General features: G+C 34.8%; 1 protein-coding gene and 1 long non-coding RNA gene across 7 annotated transcripts in view; one reads left to right on the top strand and one right to left on the bottom strand.

Annotated features, from left to right (window-relative positions):
* AGMO (alkylglycerol monooxygenase) overlaps positions 1-16,323 on the top strand; it is a 444,793-nt gene that overhangs the window by 246,293 nt on the left and 182,177 nt on the right. The window contains exon 13 of one of the 6 annotated variants that reach the window (XM_006715731.3): positions 10,489-14,325. The exons of 4 other annotated variants lie outside the window; for them this stretch is intronic. In XM_006715731.3, coding sequence (XP_006715794.1) covers positions 10,489-10,497 — 9 coding nt within the window. In that variant the 3' untranslated portion in view covers positions 10,498-14,325. Of the gene's footprint in view, positions 1-9,157; positions 9,489-10,488; positions 14,326-16,323 lie in introns of those variants that run through there. One more of the 6 variants, XM_006715730.1, reaches the window with a different exon arrangement.
* The window catches only part of LOC124901592 (uncharacterized), a 75,595-nt gene continuing 62,244 nt past the window's right edge, over positions 2,973-16,323 (bottom strand). Inside the window, exons 2-3 of the long non-coding RNA XR_007060218.1 lie at positions 4,677-4,855; positions 2,973-3,015 (exon numbers count right to left, since the gene is read on the bottom strand). This is a non-coding gene — a long non-coding RNA (uncharacterized LOC124901592). The remainder of the gene's footprint in view (positions 3,016-4,676; positions 4,856-16,323) is intronic.

Here is a 16,323-nt window from a genome sequence, read left to right as displayed (position 1 = left end):
ATTTATATCTCTCATGTATGTAGATGTCTATTAATTTTAGAACTAGAACTTTTCTGTTTGTTTCTGTTGCTAAAAACTTCAGAGCTAAATATACAGCAAATGGCTGGGCACAGTGGCTCATGCCTGTGGGAGGCCTAGGTGGGCAGATCACAAGGTCAGGAGATCGAGACCATCCTGACCAACATGGTGAAACCCCGTCTCTACTAAAAATACAAAAGTTAGCTGGGCGTGGTGGCGCATGCCTGTAATCCCAGCTACTCTGGAGGCTGAGGCAGGAGAATCGCTTGAACTAGGGAATCGGAGGTTGCAGTTAGCCTAGATCGCGCCACTACACTCCAGCCTGGCAACAGGGTGAGACTCTGTCTCAAAAAAAAAAAAAAAAAAAAAAAAAAAAGCAAATATCCATGTAAGTTTTGCTTATATCTTAATTTTCATCTCAATCATACTTAAAAATTTTGTTGTATGTATTAGTTTTCTATTACTTCCATAGCAAGTTACCACAAACTTAGTACCTTGCAATAACACAAATTCATTATTTCATACCTCTATGTGCCAGAAGTCTTTGTACGTCAAGCTTGGCTAATCTGGTCTCTGCTCCAGGTTTCACAAGGGCAAAATCAAGGTTCACTCCAAGCTCTTTGTGGCTGTTGGCTGAATCCAGTTCCTTGTAGTTATAGGACTTAGGTTCCCATTTTTCTTGCGGGCTATCAGCTGGCGGTTAGTATTATCTCTAAAACATGTCGCTTCGGTCCTTACATTGGGGTCCCTACAGATTAGAGCCAGCAATGATGTGCCAAATCCTTCTCACTTTTGTAATCTCTCTGATTTTCCCTTATGTCACATCTTTTTTTTCTATTCTGCCTCTAGCAAGAGAAAGTTCACTGTTTTTGATGGCTCAGTTGATAAGATTGGGTGTACCTAGATAATTTAGGATGATCTGCTTGTCTTAAGATTCATAAGCTTAATTCTATCTGCAAAGTCCCAAAGTCATATAAGGTAATATACTCACAGGTTCCAGGGATTAGGGCTTGGACATCTTTAGAGAGGCCCTACCCACATCACTATTATTTTATATATTTTTGAATATTGTTTTTTGATATGTCATAAATAACATTTTTGAAGTTAAATAATTATTATGCAGTGTTCCAGTGAACTAAAAACTTCAGATTAACCTAAATGTCAGGAAAATCCAGTTAAACTTTTAAAGACTAGAATGTGATTTAAAGTACAATATAACTGTTTCCCTAGTCTTAATTTAAGAATTAGGTATATAAAATCAACATTTATAAACTTTAAGCATACATATATACCAAGGATTTTTTGTCCTATTTTCCTGTTACTGAACAAAATATATGTATGACTCAATTATATCATTACTGTAGTCCCATCTTATCTGCAGCTTTGCTTTCTGTGGTTTCAGTTACCATGATCAACTGTGCTACAAAAATATTAAATGAAAAATTCCAGAAATAATCAATTAATGAGTTTTAAATTGTGCACCATTATGAGTAGCCTGATGAAATCTCACACCCTCCTGCTCAGTCTCACCCCGGATGTAAATCACCTTTTTGTCCAACTTATCCATGCTATATATGCTACCTGTCCATCAGTCATCAACATTATCTGCTGCTGACATCCAACCATCAACACTGCCATGGCTTGATGATCCAGGATCACCGGAAAGCAGCTGATCCTTCTGACAAATCTTCAGAAGTTCAATATTAGCCTAACACTACATCACCTATGTCATTCGCCTCACTTCATCCATCAAGTAGGCATTTTCTCATCTCACATCAACACAAGCAGAAGGGTGAGTATAGTACAGCAAGGTATTTTGAGAGAGAGAGAGAGACCCCATCTGCATAACTTTTATTACAGAACATTGCTATAATTGTACTATGTTATTATTAGTTATTGTTATTAATATTTTACTATGTCTATAAATTAAACTTTATCATAGGCATGTATGTGTAGGAAAAATATAGTATATATATGGTTTGGTATGATCCGTGGTTTTAGGCATCCACTGGAGGTCTTGGAATGAAACTTCCTGTAGATAAGGGGGAACCATTTTATATTACTATGAGTTTACTCTATCTCCTCTTATCTCTCTCCTTTCTGTTTGAGTTCATGAAGCAATTTCTTTACTGAATCACATTTAGTGTTTGCCAGAACCTGAAATCCTTTGACTCTGCAAAATATAAGCACATCTGCTGGTAAAAATTGCCCATCCTTTTCAGGAAGCCTAGCTGTTAACATGTGGGTTTTTGAAACAGACAGAAGTAAGACTGAATATGGGCCAAAGTACTTAGTAGTTTTAGAATCTTTGAACACTTAAGCAGCAAAATAAACTTCTGTTCTAGTTCCTCATTTGTAAATGAGTTTAATATTAGCTCCCTGACAGGACTATGGATAGTGACTGTAAAATGTTTAGCATCGTGTGTGGAATATAGTTAATAGAAAGTCAATGATGGGGGATGTTATTTTTCCTAAGAAAACTTTTACTACAGGGGATCAGTGAGAAACATGCCTTTATTGTTACAAAACATCGAAGGAGTTTTCTTTGTGTACTTAAAACTTGTTTTCATTTTTAGCCTCACAAGACATTGATCTTAGTTATGTTTCACAGTGAATGTTCCCATAGATATGTCCATGTATTGTATTTCCAATATCTTTCTCTGCATTCTTTATTATCTCTGACCTTGTATATTAGATCACTTTTCTTCTGATGAAATTCATTATTCAGAAATTCTTGGCTGCATGTGGTGGCTCATGTCTGTAATCCCAGCACTTTGGGAGGCCGAGGTGGGTGGACTGCTTGAGTTCGGGAGTTTGAGACCATCCTGGGCAACATGGCAAAACCCTGTCTTTACTAAAAATATAAAAATTGGCTGGGCATGGTGGTGCTCAGCTGTGGTCCCAGCTACTCAGGAGGCTCTTGAGCCCAGGAGGCAGAGGTTGCAGTGAGCAGACATCATTGCCAGTGCACTCCAGCCTGGGCGACAGAGCAAGACTCTGTCTCGGGGGGAAAAAACAAAATTCTTTTAGTGAGTGTCTGATAGCAGTAAACTCTTCAGTTTTTGTTTGTCTTAAAATACTTTGATTCACAACTTTATAACTTTATTCTTGAAAGATTTCCACCACAGCCCTGTCCCTCCCCCTGATAACCTCCCCCCACCGCCCCCGCCATGCACTGGGTATAGAATTCTACAATGGCAGCTGTTTTTTTTGGGCACACTAAAGATACATTTGATTGTCCTGTGATTTCCATGACTCCCTTGAGAGGTCAGCCCTCATTCTAACACTCAATTACTTAAAGGAAACTTGCCTTTTATTTTCCCCTTGTTCTGGCAACTTAAAACATTTCCTTTTTGTCTTTAGTGTTTTGTTGTTTTAATATTATGTACTTAGGCTTGGCTTTCTTTTTATTTATCATGCTTGGAATTCATCTGGCTTCTTGAAGCTATTAAATTGTATTTTTATATCAGTCCTAGAAGACTTCCAGCTTTTTACTCTTCTGATATTGCCTCTACCCAGTTCTCTTTCTTTTTCCTTTTGGAACTCTAATTACATGTTTGTTAGACTTTCTCAACTCTTATCTTCCATGTCTCTTAAGTTTGTTTCTCTTTCTTTCTCTCTCTCCCTGTCTCATTCTCTTTTTCATTTTTCATCTATTTTTTTCTCCCAGTGATGCATTTGGAGAGTTTCATAACAGCTCACAAATGCTTTCTTCAGGTGTATCTAATTTGGTTTTACAATCTGATATTAAACCCATCCATTTACTTTCAGTTTTTGGTTATTGTAATTTTTATTACTAGCATCTCTGTCTTCTTAAAATATATCATTTTTAGCATAATTTTCCCTAAAAATAGATTCAAATGTATCTTTTATTTACATATAGCCAGTGGAATTATTTTAGAATATATGTCTGATAATTTCAACAGATCAATTTCTATTTTCCACTGTTTGTGTGTGTTCTCACTTAAATGCTTTGTTTTCTTGTGAAATTTATTACCTCCTATTTTGTATTGGTCCCTGATTTTTAAAAATTTATATAGCGGTTTATTAAGACATAGAATGATGGTGACTTCCTCCAGAGGGAATTTGTATTTGCTTTGGTCAGGCAGCTGGAGGTTTTACCAAAGCAGATGTTAGGTCCACCTAACTGATACAAACTTGGCTGCACATCTGAGCCCGGATTGGTTTGCGATTGCAGCTTCTTGAAATTTTTTTTTTTTACTACCTCTGCTCAGGCCTAAGCAACTTTCTCTGTACTAACTTGGTTTTGGAAAGGTAGGATAGGATCATTTAAGGTTCCAGCTTAATGTGGGGAGGGTTTTCTGTTAGATTCCCAACCTGGCATGTTTCCTGGATTTTTACTTATTTTTCTAAGTGAAAATGTCAAAAATGTCACCTCTACTAGAGCACAGATGTCCTCAGCCAAAAAGTAGCTTTTGCGCTATATGAGTTTCCATATTTGTTTGGATTTGGGGCTCTATAATTCTCTAGTTAGCTCTTCAGTGCTTTTGATAATTTTTTTTTAATCTAGCATTTTTGGTTTTGTTTTTAGTAGCAGAGTTGTTCACCTTGTGTTGGAAGCAGAATAACGGTCCCCCAAATATGTCCATGTTTTAATTCCCAGACCTGTGAATATGTTAAGTTGCAAATCAGCTGACCTTGAGATGTGGAGATCATCCTACATTGTCCAGGTGGGCCTCATGCCGTCAGAAGTGTTTTTAGAAATGGAAGAGGGAGGCGGGAGAGTCAGAGTGAGGTGATCTGAGAAGGACTCACTATTACTCCTGCGAAGATGGAAGAGGGCCATGAGCCAAAGAATGCGGGCAGCCTCTAGAAGCTGGAAAAAGCAAAGAAACAGATTCTCCCTTAGTGCCACCAGAAAGGAACACAGCCCTGCCAACACCTTGATTTTCGAACAGTGAGGCCCATTTCAGACTTCTGACCTCCAGAACTGTAAAAAATTAATTTGTGTTGTTTTTAAGCCATTAAGTTTGTGGCTATTTGAAACAGCAGCAATAGGATAATAGTATACTCTGCCTTACCAGAAATAGAAGCACTCCCTCATTTTATAAAGAATGTAGTTAAATATTAAAAGTATGAAAATAACAAAAATATAATTTCCAAATTTCTAATTAGACACATTATTACTTAAAATATTATAATAACATGATATAGGAAAATAAGGACTTTTTTGTCTGATCCAATTATTTAATTTTGTTTTTTAGTATTAGTAACTGATACTCCTTACCTTAAATCCAGATTGATTTAAAGCTAAAAGACAAAATTTTCCAAATGGAAACCAAATATGTTTATTTCTGGCAAAGGATAGAAACTGAATTTTTTTTGCAGGGGCCCCTTACTCCAGAGTCATGCAGCTAAGAATGAAATTTTTGCTAAAAATGTTATCTTGATATTTTTAGCAAATAAAAACCTGAATAACCACAGCTTTGATCATTTACTACATGTGATTTTTTTGAGCACTTTTGCATTTGTTTAAATAACATTACTGAATCAAATTATTCTTTAAATTAAAACCAAACTTGATCTATTTAAAGTGTGCCAAGTTCGTCAGCCTCACTGCTATGTGTTTGCTCATAGCAGCTGCTAATCCAGAAAGAACAGGCACTAAGCATGTGGGGAGCTTGGGAGTGGAATCCTGTGACACACCATGATGAGCAAATATTTCCTTCCAGACAGAATATGATATATTTTTTCATCATAAAATTTATATGAAGCTGAAGGGATATAAATGTATATAGTGCTAATTTGGAAACCTGCAAAGATGATATTGGGAAAATTAAACCTTACTTCTGCTGAACCTGGAGCCAGTATACTTTCCAATAGATAACATATTTATTAAAGATGGGGAACAATGTTTATTAAATGGCATAATGATCTTTGATTGAGGGACATTAGGCAAGCCAGTTAACTTCTCTGGGCTTTATTTGTATTCTCTCTAAAATGATGAGGAATAAATATAATAATAACTAAGGTTATTTTCTCTCTAATAGTCTATTTTAGAGAGGATATATACACAAATCTACACATACATATATATGCACCTACAATATTACTACATTATATAGAAAACTAATAATTAGGGACCTGTCTTTTCTAACATTTTGCATATCTCTTTAAAAATAAAATTCAATGAAAACAACACCTGACTTACATTGGCTAGATGAGATCTTATGTTGACGCTTAGGGGAAATGGAGAAAAGTACATTTCAATAGGGCACTGGACTTCAAAGTTGGCTTAGTTTTATCCCACCCAGAAAGTTTGTTTTATAACTCTTTTGATACATTTGAAGATTCTCACAACACAGAGAGCTGTTAAGAATGTATAAAGTATTTCCCCTCTGCTGATCATCTTTTTTATTGGTACCTACTCAAAAATTTGGAGATGTACTCCTATGGAAAAAAAATGTTGGCCCTACTCAGCTTGCCTGTCTGTAAAACTGCTCAGTAAGGATAACGATAGTTCTTCATTACGTGTGCCTGTAGTTGCAATTAAGATGTTCCCCCAAAGGATTTTTAGCAGGGCTTGTCTTCCTATAAAGGCCATGTCTCTTTCATACTGAGTGTTTAATGAATAACTAGTCTAAGGAACTATTGCTGATGAACTATTGCTTGATGTGGCTGATGGAGCAAATGGTTTCAGCCCAGTGCCTGAATACTTGGGATAATTGCATGAGTAGTAAAGTTGCTTACCATTAACAAATAGTAAGCGTTTAAGTTGTGAATTCAAACCAAATCACTCCATTTGACCAACCACAAGTCTGGACTTTGAAGTCTAACAAATTGGATTGAATCTGTTTTACCATACATTGACTGAATGTGTTTAGGTAAATTATTTAACCATTGCGAAACTTTGTTTCTTTATCCACAATATGTAAAAAACACTGGTGGCTTCCAAGAGTTATGTGAAGGCCTTTGAGAATTATAAAACATAACACATTAGTTGTTATATTTTCATTATATGTGCTGTAATAATATATCAACAGATACAGGAAAATCCAAGAGCTTTGGTTACAGAAAAGTTTTAAGTGGTTTCATTGTTTAACATTTTGGTGAAACATTGCTCTGGTGAAAAATAATTTAAAGGCATAAATCTTGTTTTTAGAAAGCTTACAGTAAATTGAGACAAACAAATGAGACAAGCAAATATGACAAGCAAATGAGTTAATACAAGCAAATGAGACAACAAACAGTTACTGTGCATAGTGAAAAACACCATGATGTAGGTAGATAGTAAGCAAACGCTGTAAGAGTATAGAGGTGAAATCTGACATTGGCAGGTCAGAAAAGTCTTCTCAAATGAGGTGAATGAGCAAAACCTTAAAAAAGAAGTGTGGGGGTAAGGTCAGTAGTGAAAGGAACAAGGATAAATTTTTAAATAGGAAAAAATATGCAAATTTATAACAAATTATTTATATTCAGAGAGTAACCAAGGATTTGGATTGATGGTGCTTGTGTGAGGGGTAAAAGTCTGATTGTTAAGGGATGAACATACAGGATAAGCAGAATTTACTCCATTCTGAAATTAGAACAGACATACTTTAAATAAAGAAATGACATAAATAGATTTGCTCTTTTGGAAATGTTTCCTGGCAGCCTGTGGGTAATGGATGGAAAACTGAAGGGGTGTAGTGAGGACCAGCAAGCCTGGAGGTATTGAAGCTTGTGGGGAAATTCCAGGTATTTAGAAAGTGGGGAGAGAATAGAGTTAGGTCAAACCATTAGGCGTTAGGAACTAATAGGATTGACAAGAGAGAGACATAAAATAAAAACTCCATCACACTTGTTTACTGATTGCTCAGAGGTGGGATATGAAGGAGGTATGGGTCTTATTTAGTCTTGTAAATTTCTGAATTGGTGAGTCCATATTTGCACTGAGATGGAGACCCAGGAAAAGGCAAAGATCTGAAAGGAGAGATACTGAGTTTGTTTGTGGGCATGTTTACTGTGAGATATCCAAATCTCAGTTGCAAATCTGTAACTTAGGAAACTAGGTGAGAGCTGGAGGTGTAAATTTGAGTGTCAGTTTGAAGATAGTAATTGAAACTATATGCATAGAAGCAATCACCTTGGGAAATGTTTTATTGTTCCTTGCTTTAATACAATTATATGATTAGGTAATTATAGTGTCCTTCTTATAGGCTTCATAAGAAAAAAAAAACTAGTATACTTTACTGATTTATTTCAGAACATCCTTACTAGTTTTAAAACAAATCAACTAGAGTCCTGTTCTTTTAGAGTTTAATTGATTAGCCCATCTAAATAAAGTTTTATTCACCACTGGCACTGTCACTTTTAGATTAAATATTTTGAACTATATTTATAAGTAATGGTAAATGCCTATTTTAACTTTTTACCATGTGATAAAATTGGTGATTCAAGGTTTCTTCCAAATAGATGGGCTTGGCTTTTGAAGACAAGTCATGTCAAACAAGGATTCCCACGTTTTATGGCCGCAGAACAGTCTGTCATAAGGGAATATAAATTATGTCCTCACCTCTCACAAGACTGTTAACAACTAGATAACTAGACTGGATAATAAGATATTGTAATATATGAATGTCATCATCATTACTAGTAGATTTGTCCTATTAGTGATGGGTGAACTGCAAAATTACAAATGGAAACTTATTTTTTGGAATCACTTTATAATTATTTCGTTTTTGAATAATTTTAAGTGTAGATCTTTGTACAACTTTCTATATTAAAATTCACCAAAATTCAGTATGCTTTAATGATTATTTCTCATGATTGTAACGTATGCATTTAATATTGCAAACTATTTTATACAAAGAGTTCATTACCTCTGTTATGATTATAACTTATTGTAATAATATTTTATACACTAACTGAATAATTTATGTTTCTCCAACAGCCCTTTCCAATGTGGCATACTTAGCATAATAAAGTAGAAATCTTAGTTTAGGGACATATTCCTCAGCCTATAAGAACTAGTACAATCTAAAATAGTAGGTGAAAACTTAAATTGTGCTAATTCTAAACATTAAAATCTAACTATTTGAAGCATTAACAATCCTTAATAGTGCCATAAACCATATTAACTTTTTAGCAAGGTAACACAAATTGCCATATTTTGTAATGCTTTTTTTTTTTTACACAGTCATATTCTGTTATAAGTGAAATTGGGCTCCAGGCCAAGGAGAACTTTGGAGAACTTTTAAGTTTGAGTGACTGTCTCACAGCTGGAAACCACCCCAAAGTGCATTGATTGCAGAAGAATATGTTTCCTATTATCCAGTTCTCTACCAAACTATTTTTTTGTAGCTTGAAAATAATAAAGATTTTGTAAGCCCCAAGGGGTCTTTTTGATCCATGAATGAAGTTACCCTGGATTCATATAACTAAAATCTGACTTCCTTTCAGCCATTGAAATTCAAAACCCTTTCCATTTATTAGTATGAAATAAAAAAAGACCTTCAAAAATGTCAAAACGTTGCATTTAATGAAGTCAATGTCAGTGCATGTCAAAGTTTTGATTCCATTTAAGATGAGTACAATGTGATGTGAAAGGAAATGTAAAGTGAGTAATGGCAGTCGGTTAATTAAAGTAGATATTGAAGGATGCAATCTGTTAGCCTTTAAATTATTCTTTAAAGTTTTTCTTAATCAAAAGATACACTTTTTATAGTTACCATAAAATTTATGTTAGTCATATTTAAATGTTTAGAATTTATGAATTACCAGAAAAAAATAAGATACTTGATTTTTTGGTTGCTTTAAAATTTTGTTATCTGGAATTTTAAAATGAAATCAGTCTTTAAAAAAAGATTTGTTCTTTTAGGTTCGTTCATGTACCCATAGTGCCATTTTACTAATGATTCATTACACATTCTTAGTGCCTTTCTGGAGGAAAAACAAGTACAGTTCACAGAATCTTCCGTATGATTTCTCTAGAATTCTAGTCTTCATTTATAATGACACAGTAGAAACCGAGTTGCTTATATAACTATAGTACCCTAGTAAATTAGTTGCATGTCTACAGTAAAATCCAGATCTTCTTTACAAATTCTAGATCAGATATACAGCCAAATCATATAAATATATATATAGGAATGTAATTTTGAAGTAATTTCTGTCAGAGTAAAATTATAAATTGTTACTCATATTTAATATAACCATTCGACTCACAGGAAGTAACTACAGAAAACACAAGGTTTAAAAACTGGCACAAAAACTCATTTTGCCAGGTGAAAAGAAATTGATGCAACATGTTGAACTTTGATCATTCATGTTTCACCAGTGAACCCAGATGCACGGAAAATACTTTACTCAAATTGCTCACAATAAGTGCCAATCCTCATTTTTCCATATCAAGGAGAGATGGGGATATGGAAAAATATACAAAATTGGCAGATAATCTTCAAACCTTATTTTAGGCAATATTTTTCACTTCCTGTCCTATCAAACTTTTTTTTTTTTTTTTTTAACCAGATTGCCTGACAAGGTTGCCTTGTCCTTGCCCCTGCCTGCCCTCTGGTGGAGAATAGCAGGATGGTAAAAGGAAAATAAGGAGAAAATCCATGGTGAGATGATGAATAAGTACCTAAGATAGGTGCTACCACAAGTTACTGGATAATCACTTCTAGTAACACTTTTATTTATATATTTCAAATATAACTATATATTCTTAATATTAAGTTTGATTTTAACTACTCAATGTCAACTAGCTCATCCTGCTTTGAGATGGCAGGAGGGAAACCCTGGGGGAAGGGGGAAGCAAGAGAAAATTTTTATCCAGTGTGCTCTCCAAGATTTAACTAAATCATTTGTTATAGTTGACTTTCTTCTTAAACATTGTGTGTAACTGAAAGAATAATAATAATGCCTCAGATTTTCATGAGAATATATGATGGTGGGCTTAGAGGAAGGCTTATCATTTTCCAGTTCTGTATTTTTTAGTTGACAATTTACTAGTAATTTCATCTCCATTCATGCAGACAACATCCTATAAAATAAATATGTCGGTTTATTTGAGTTCATTGGACTGTTGACAAATCATGGCCCTATAAAGTACGAATCAGGGACTTTTGAAACAGATAAACCGAACCCTTGACTCATAACGAAACTGAATAAATAAGATTTTTATTACAAATAACTTGACAAACCCAAATCTTTCCACTTTATCTTCCTTATATTTCTGTAATAAAACTGATGTAACAAACCCTAAATCACCACCATTTAGTAATAGCAAAATTGAAAACTCAAAAATTTTCAGTTTTCTTTATACCAACAGATTTGAGATTGTACCCAAAATTTCTGTCCTGGTTTGGCCTTGAATTTCAATCCAATTCTTCCCTTCCACAGCTGTTTGCTGGGTACGCTGTTATTAAATAATGGGGCTCTGTGGAGAAGACCTCAAGGGAGTTGAGGGGATCGAGAGAGCTGGAGAAGAGAAAGGGATGAAAGAGACTTTAAAAGATGAAACAAATGTTAGGAGTTTATGTAGGTCAAGACATTTAAAGTTAACTTTCATTTGTATTGTAATGGGGGAATTTTCCAGCTATTAATATTTTGAGCAGAGAGCCCACTTATTTCATAGAATAAAAAATTAAGAGGATGCCGTCAAGCATTGCATAAAGGCATTGACGTGGCATTGTTATATGTAAAAGGACTGAAAATTGAACTAACACAAGTTTGTTATTTTAGACTTGGGCCTCTAGGAGTTCATGGAAAATCGTATTGGATATTTTGAGCTATTAGAGATATACCCACAGACCTATTCTCTTCCAGGTCTATATCATGATTTTAACGATAAAAGTTTAAGAGATTATCAGAGAAAGAATTGATCCTCACAATTAAACACAGCAACAAGAATATATGTGTATGTGCTGTGTGTGGGGGTAAACATACAAGAGTATACATACATGTATTTCCTTGTATCTTTCTTTTCTACCAAACATTTCTAAAGTCAGGGCTAACTTAATATTTCATTTTTCCATAGCTTGTATCAAGTTCCCCATGCTCCACTTCCTTCTTCTGCTTTTTAGCACCTTCATATTCCTCACATTCTTTTATGGCAGAGCACAACTCTCTCACTTTTTCTAACAAGAAACACACATTGCAGTTAAACAGCCGAGGTCATCCCCATGCTCGCGTCACAGGTCAAGCAAGATCACTTACATTTTTTAGGGGGTCATTTCTTCTCACTGGGTGGGATATGACCTTGTTCCTGTTTCCAGAAAAGAAACCACCCCAGATGTTCACCACCCCTTCTCTCTCTTTTTTTTTTCTGTTTTTCCATTCTCTTCCTTGTTTGATGCCAAATACACAATTAGACATTCATCTTGCTAGTATTTTTCTATGTTAAAAAAGATCTTTATTTTTACCTAATGTATCTTAAATACAAAAATAAGCCAAAAATACAGAAAATCTGACATTTAATTAAAATTTAGGGGATAGATACTATTTTATAATTTGAATGTACCATTCTGAAAACTCCTTGGTATTTTCAGCATATTATAAAGTCACTATTAAGATACATTTCTCTCTGCATCTGTGCCGCCATCTTAATATCATCTGTGGGCTGCACTTTTTTTTCAAAACCATCTGCATTTTGAGCTGTCTTTTGAGAAATGGCTGTAAGAATACAATTAATTCTGTTCTCCCTGTGTGGATTGTTCCTCCTGGGTTTTCATTGACCATCCCAGACATTCAGCTTTCAAGATCCTTTAGATTTACTCACTGAATACAACCAAGTTTGCAGTGGTTTTGTACTGATTACAAATATATAGATACTTTTCCTGACTTTATTTTTTACAAACATAGTCAAGATGTAATGCCTGCAGAAATTATTACTCTCAGTAACAATTTCATGGCTTCAGTCCTATCTTTATGAAGCTTAACTCTAGTTGACTGCTCCATGACTTACATGAATTGAACACATACTGTATTCCAGCAACCGTACCATATGATGGAGGTACAGCAATGAACAAAACAAAACAAAAAGGCTTCTCTTCATGGAGTTTACAGTCTAGTGAAAATAGACTTTTAAATTGAAAACAGCTAATATATTAGAAAATAAATACCTGCTTTGTAACAAGTACTGCGCTAAAAGCTCTATGCCAGTCTCCTTGATTTATGTATTTTTTAATTGTCATTTTCAAAGATTTTAATCTTTAAGGAACCTTTGCATTTTAATTTCTGTATTATATTTTGAAGTTTGTTCTTATTAAGTTCTAGAGTTAGAACAAAATAATAAATTTTGAAATAAAATCTGGTGGAAATACTGTATACCTTTTATTGCCATACCAACTTTATTAGACCCCAACTTTATTCATACCCTGTTAAAAGTCCATAACCAATATAATTTTTGAAGAAAGTTCATGGTCTAATTTTTGGTTAGAAGAAGAATTCTGTAAATTAAAATCAAATTTCTCATGATGTGACACATTTTTTCCCAAAGAATGTTTATTTCAGAGGTAAAAAATATTTGATGAAGACCAAACTAATAGTTTATCTTCAAGAGAAATTATCAAATTTTATCCTTAAAAATCTAATAAGTACCAATTAATTCATTGACTCAAAAGGATAATTAATGTTTTGATTGTGAATTATTATAAAACAAAATGCTAGCAAAAACAGGCAAACTTGTATGTACCACAAAGGGTTTTATCAAATCTCATTATACTATATCCACTTAACATATTTTAAGTAAATAAAACATTAAGAAAAAGTTGAGGAGCTCTCTTTACTTATTCTCCTCTGATACTATTTCCCTTCTTTCAGCACCAGAAGTAACTTCAGGCAGGATGACATTTTGACTTTCATGAGCCTTAGGCACTTTTGCCTTCTTGAGCCCTTCTTGAGCCCATTTCTATATAATAAAAAATTATTCAGCTGTTAAAAATTTAACAGTAAAAATATTATATTATACAACAGTGTTTCTAAAAAGATGTATGTAATTCAGATTGGTTTCACTGTTATGTATCCAATATTATTATAGTCATTTTTTCTTGGGTTTTTAAAAGAAATGAAAATTAAAACATTTCTATTATCCTCTAAAAGTATCGTGGACCTTCAACACTGTGAATTCAGCCTTTTAGCATTCCTATGCTTTTGCTTACATATTCATCTGTATAGATTTTTAAATTACCACTTATTGTATTGGTTTTAGAAAATGTATTGAGAACTAGTTGTATAATTTTAGTTGGTTTAAAAAAAAACAAGCAAACAGTATTTGCCTTCATTTTGAGAACATATTCAGCATTTGCTTTCTTTTTTTTTTCCTGAGACTGAAGCTCTCTCTGTCTCCCAGGCTGGAGTGCAGTGGCGTGATCTTGGCTCACTGCAACCTCTGCTTTCTGGGTTCACGTGATTCTTCTGCCACAGCCTCCCGAGTTGCTGGGATTACAGGCATGTGCCACCACACCTAGCTAATTTTTGTATTTTTAGTAGAGAGGGAGTTTCAGCATGTTGGCCAGCCTGGTCTCGAACTCCTGACCTCAAGTGATCCACCTGCCTTGGCCTCCAAAAGTGTTGGGATTACAGGCATGAGCCACCGCGCCCGGCCAGCATTTGCTTTTAAATTAGTATCAATAACACTTTTAATTTCACCCACAAACACATGCAATCACTGAAATAATATAAATATAGAAAAGATTTCTTAAATGTATGATTGTTTTCTGGAGCATAAAAAGGTGTTTTCTTATGTTCTCCAGTAGAAAGTTCCTCTGTGTATATGTGTGTGTCTATTTAAGAGAGAGACAGATAGATTCAGCTGATTCCTTAGTGATGCTTGTAATATACAGCAAATTGACACTAAAATTTTGGCATGTTTGGAGATTAATCCTAGGAAAAAAGTACATTTTGCCATGGAGAGAGTGCTTGCTGTTGTTTGGCTTTAGAGTTCAGTGCTGTAATTTGTGTCATTTTTTTTGGACAAGCAGTGCTACAGAATGTCATCCACACCTTTAAGATTTGCTAATTTCCTCCAGGAGTTTTACTCTTTCTCATGCCAGTTAGCGGTAGAAAAATAGCTTCTTCCATTCATCAGATGAGGTAATGCTCTGTTACTATTCACATTTGAGTGTAGTATGAGTGTTGTATTTAAATGATACCAGCAAGAAGAAAAATTGCTGCTTTCTTTTGAAGGTTATTTCTGTGCTTTCACTCTTTAAGGGTTTTAAAATAACTGTAGCAAGCATTTTCTTGATTTTTTTTTCAGTTTTCTTCACCTTAATTAAATAACAATGAATGTGTCAGCCACTTGTTCAAGGCTTTGAAGATGTCAGTACAACTGTGATAATTTAATCCCATCACGTAGCTGCTATGCCTAAGAATATGCTTTGATGTTCAACATACCCAAATTTGGTTAAGCTGCCAAACCATCAATCTGGACTCTATGTTTGTTGGTGAAAGACACTAACCAGTTTTGCTATTGTGAACTTTAGTAGACTTATTTGCTAGCAACTAAACATACTCAGCACTTCCCTCACTGTGCTTTAATTTTTTCCCCTCTATCTGATATTTCTAACTTGATCTCTTGGGTATCTCTTTGTTCCAATCCTAGCTATCTTTCCAAGTATCAACTCAAATGCTATAGACTCCTTAAAATCTTCCTCATTTCCTTTCTATTACTTCCAATTCTATTTTTCCTCCATTCTTCCACCCTGTCAAGATGGAAATATTTTTCTCTTCTCAAATTCCATGCTTTGGTCAGTTTCTATTTAATAGTATTCACAGCTTTCTTCCCTCTGTAACTATTTGCCCATATAGTCTGTTCTTTACATGTTCTTGTCTGCTAAGTAAGAGGAAAGGATATGTTGAACACAAAACATACTGTGTGTGTGTGTGTGTGTGTGTGTGTGTGTGTGTGTGTGTGTGTGTGTGTGTGTGTATGTAGACAGAGTCTTGCTCTGTCTCCCAGGCTGGAGTGCAGTGGCTCAATATTGGCTCACTGAAACCTCCACCTCCCGGGTTCGAGCAATTCTCCTGCCTCAGCCTCCCAAGTAGCTGGAACTACAGGTGTGTGCCACCATACCCAGCTAATATCTTTTGTATTTTAGTAGAGACTGGGTTTCACCGTGTTGCCTAGGCTGCTCTAGAACTCCTGAGCTCAGGCAATCTGCCCGCCTTGGCCTCCCAAAGTGCTAGAATTACAGACATGAGCCACCGCACCTGGCCATATAATATATACTTCCAATCCATGAAACACAGCATTAGCCCTTAGTGAATGCTCGCATGAGAAATGGATATCAGTCCTTAGTACTCATAGATTAGGTGCTGAGATAGAGTTGAGTAATTTACTACATATTTTCTCTCAAGGTG

Source organism: Homo sapiens, chromosome 7 (assembly GCF_000001405.40).
Source record: "Homo sapiens chromosome 7, GRCh38.p14 Primary Assembly".
Classification (NCBI taxonomy): domain Eukaryota; kingdom Metazoa; phylum Chordata; class Mammalia; order Primates; family Hominidae; genus Homo; species Homo sapiens.
This window is presented reverse-complemented; position numbering and strand designations above follow the sequence as displayed.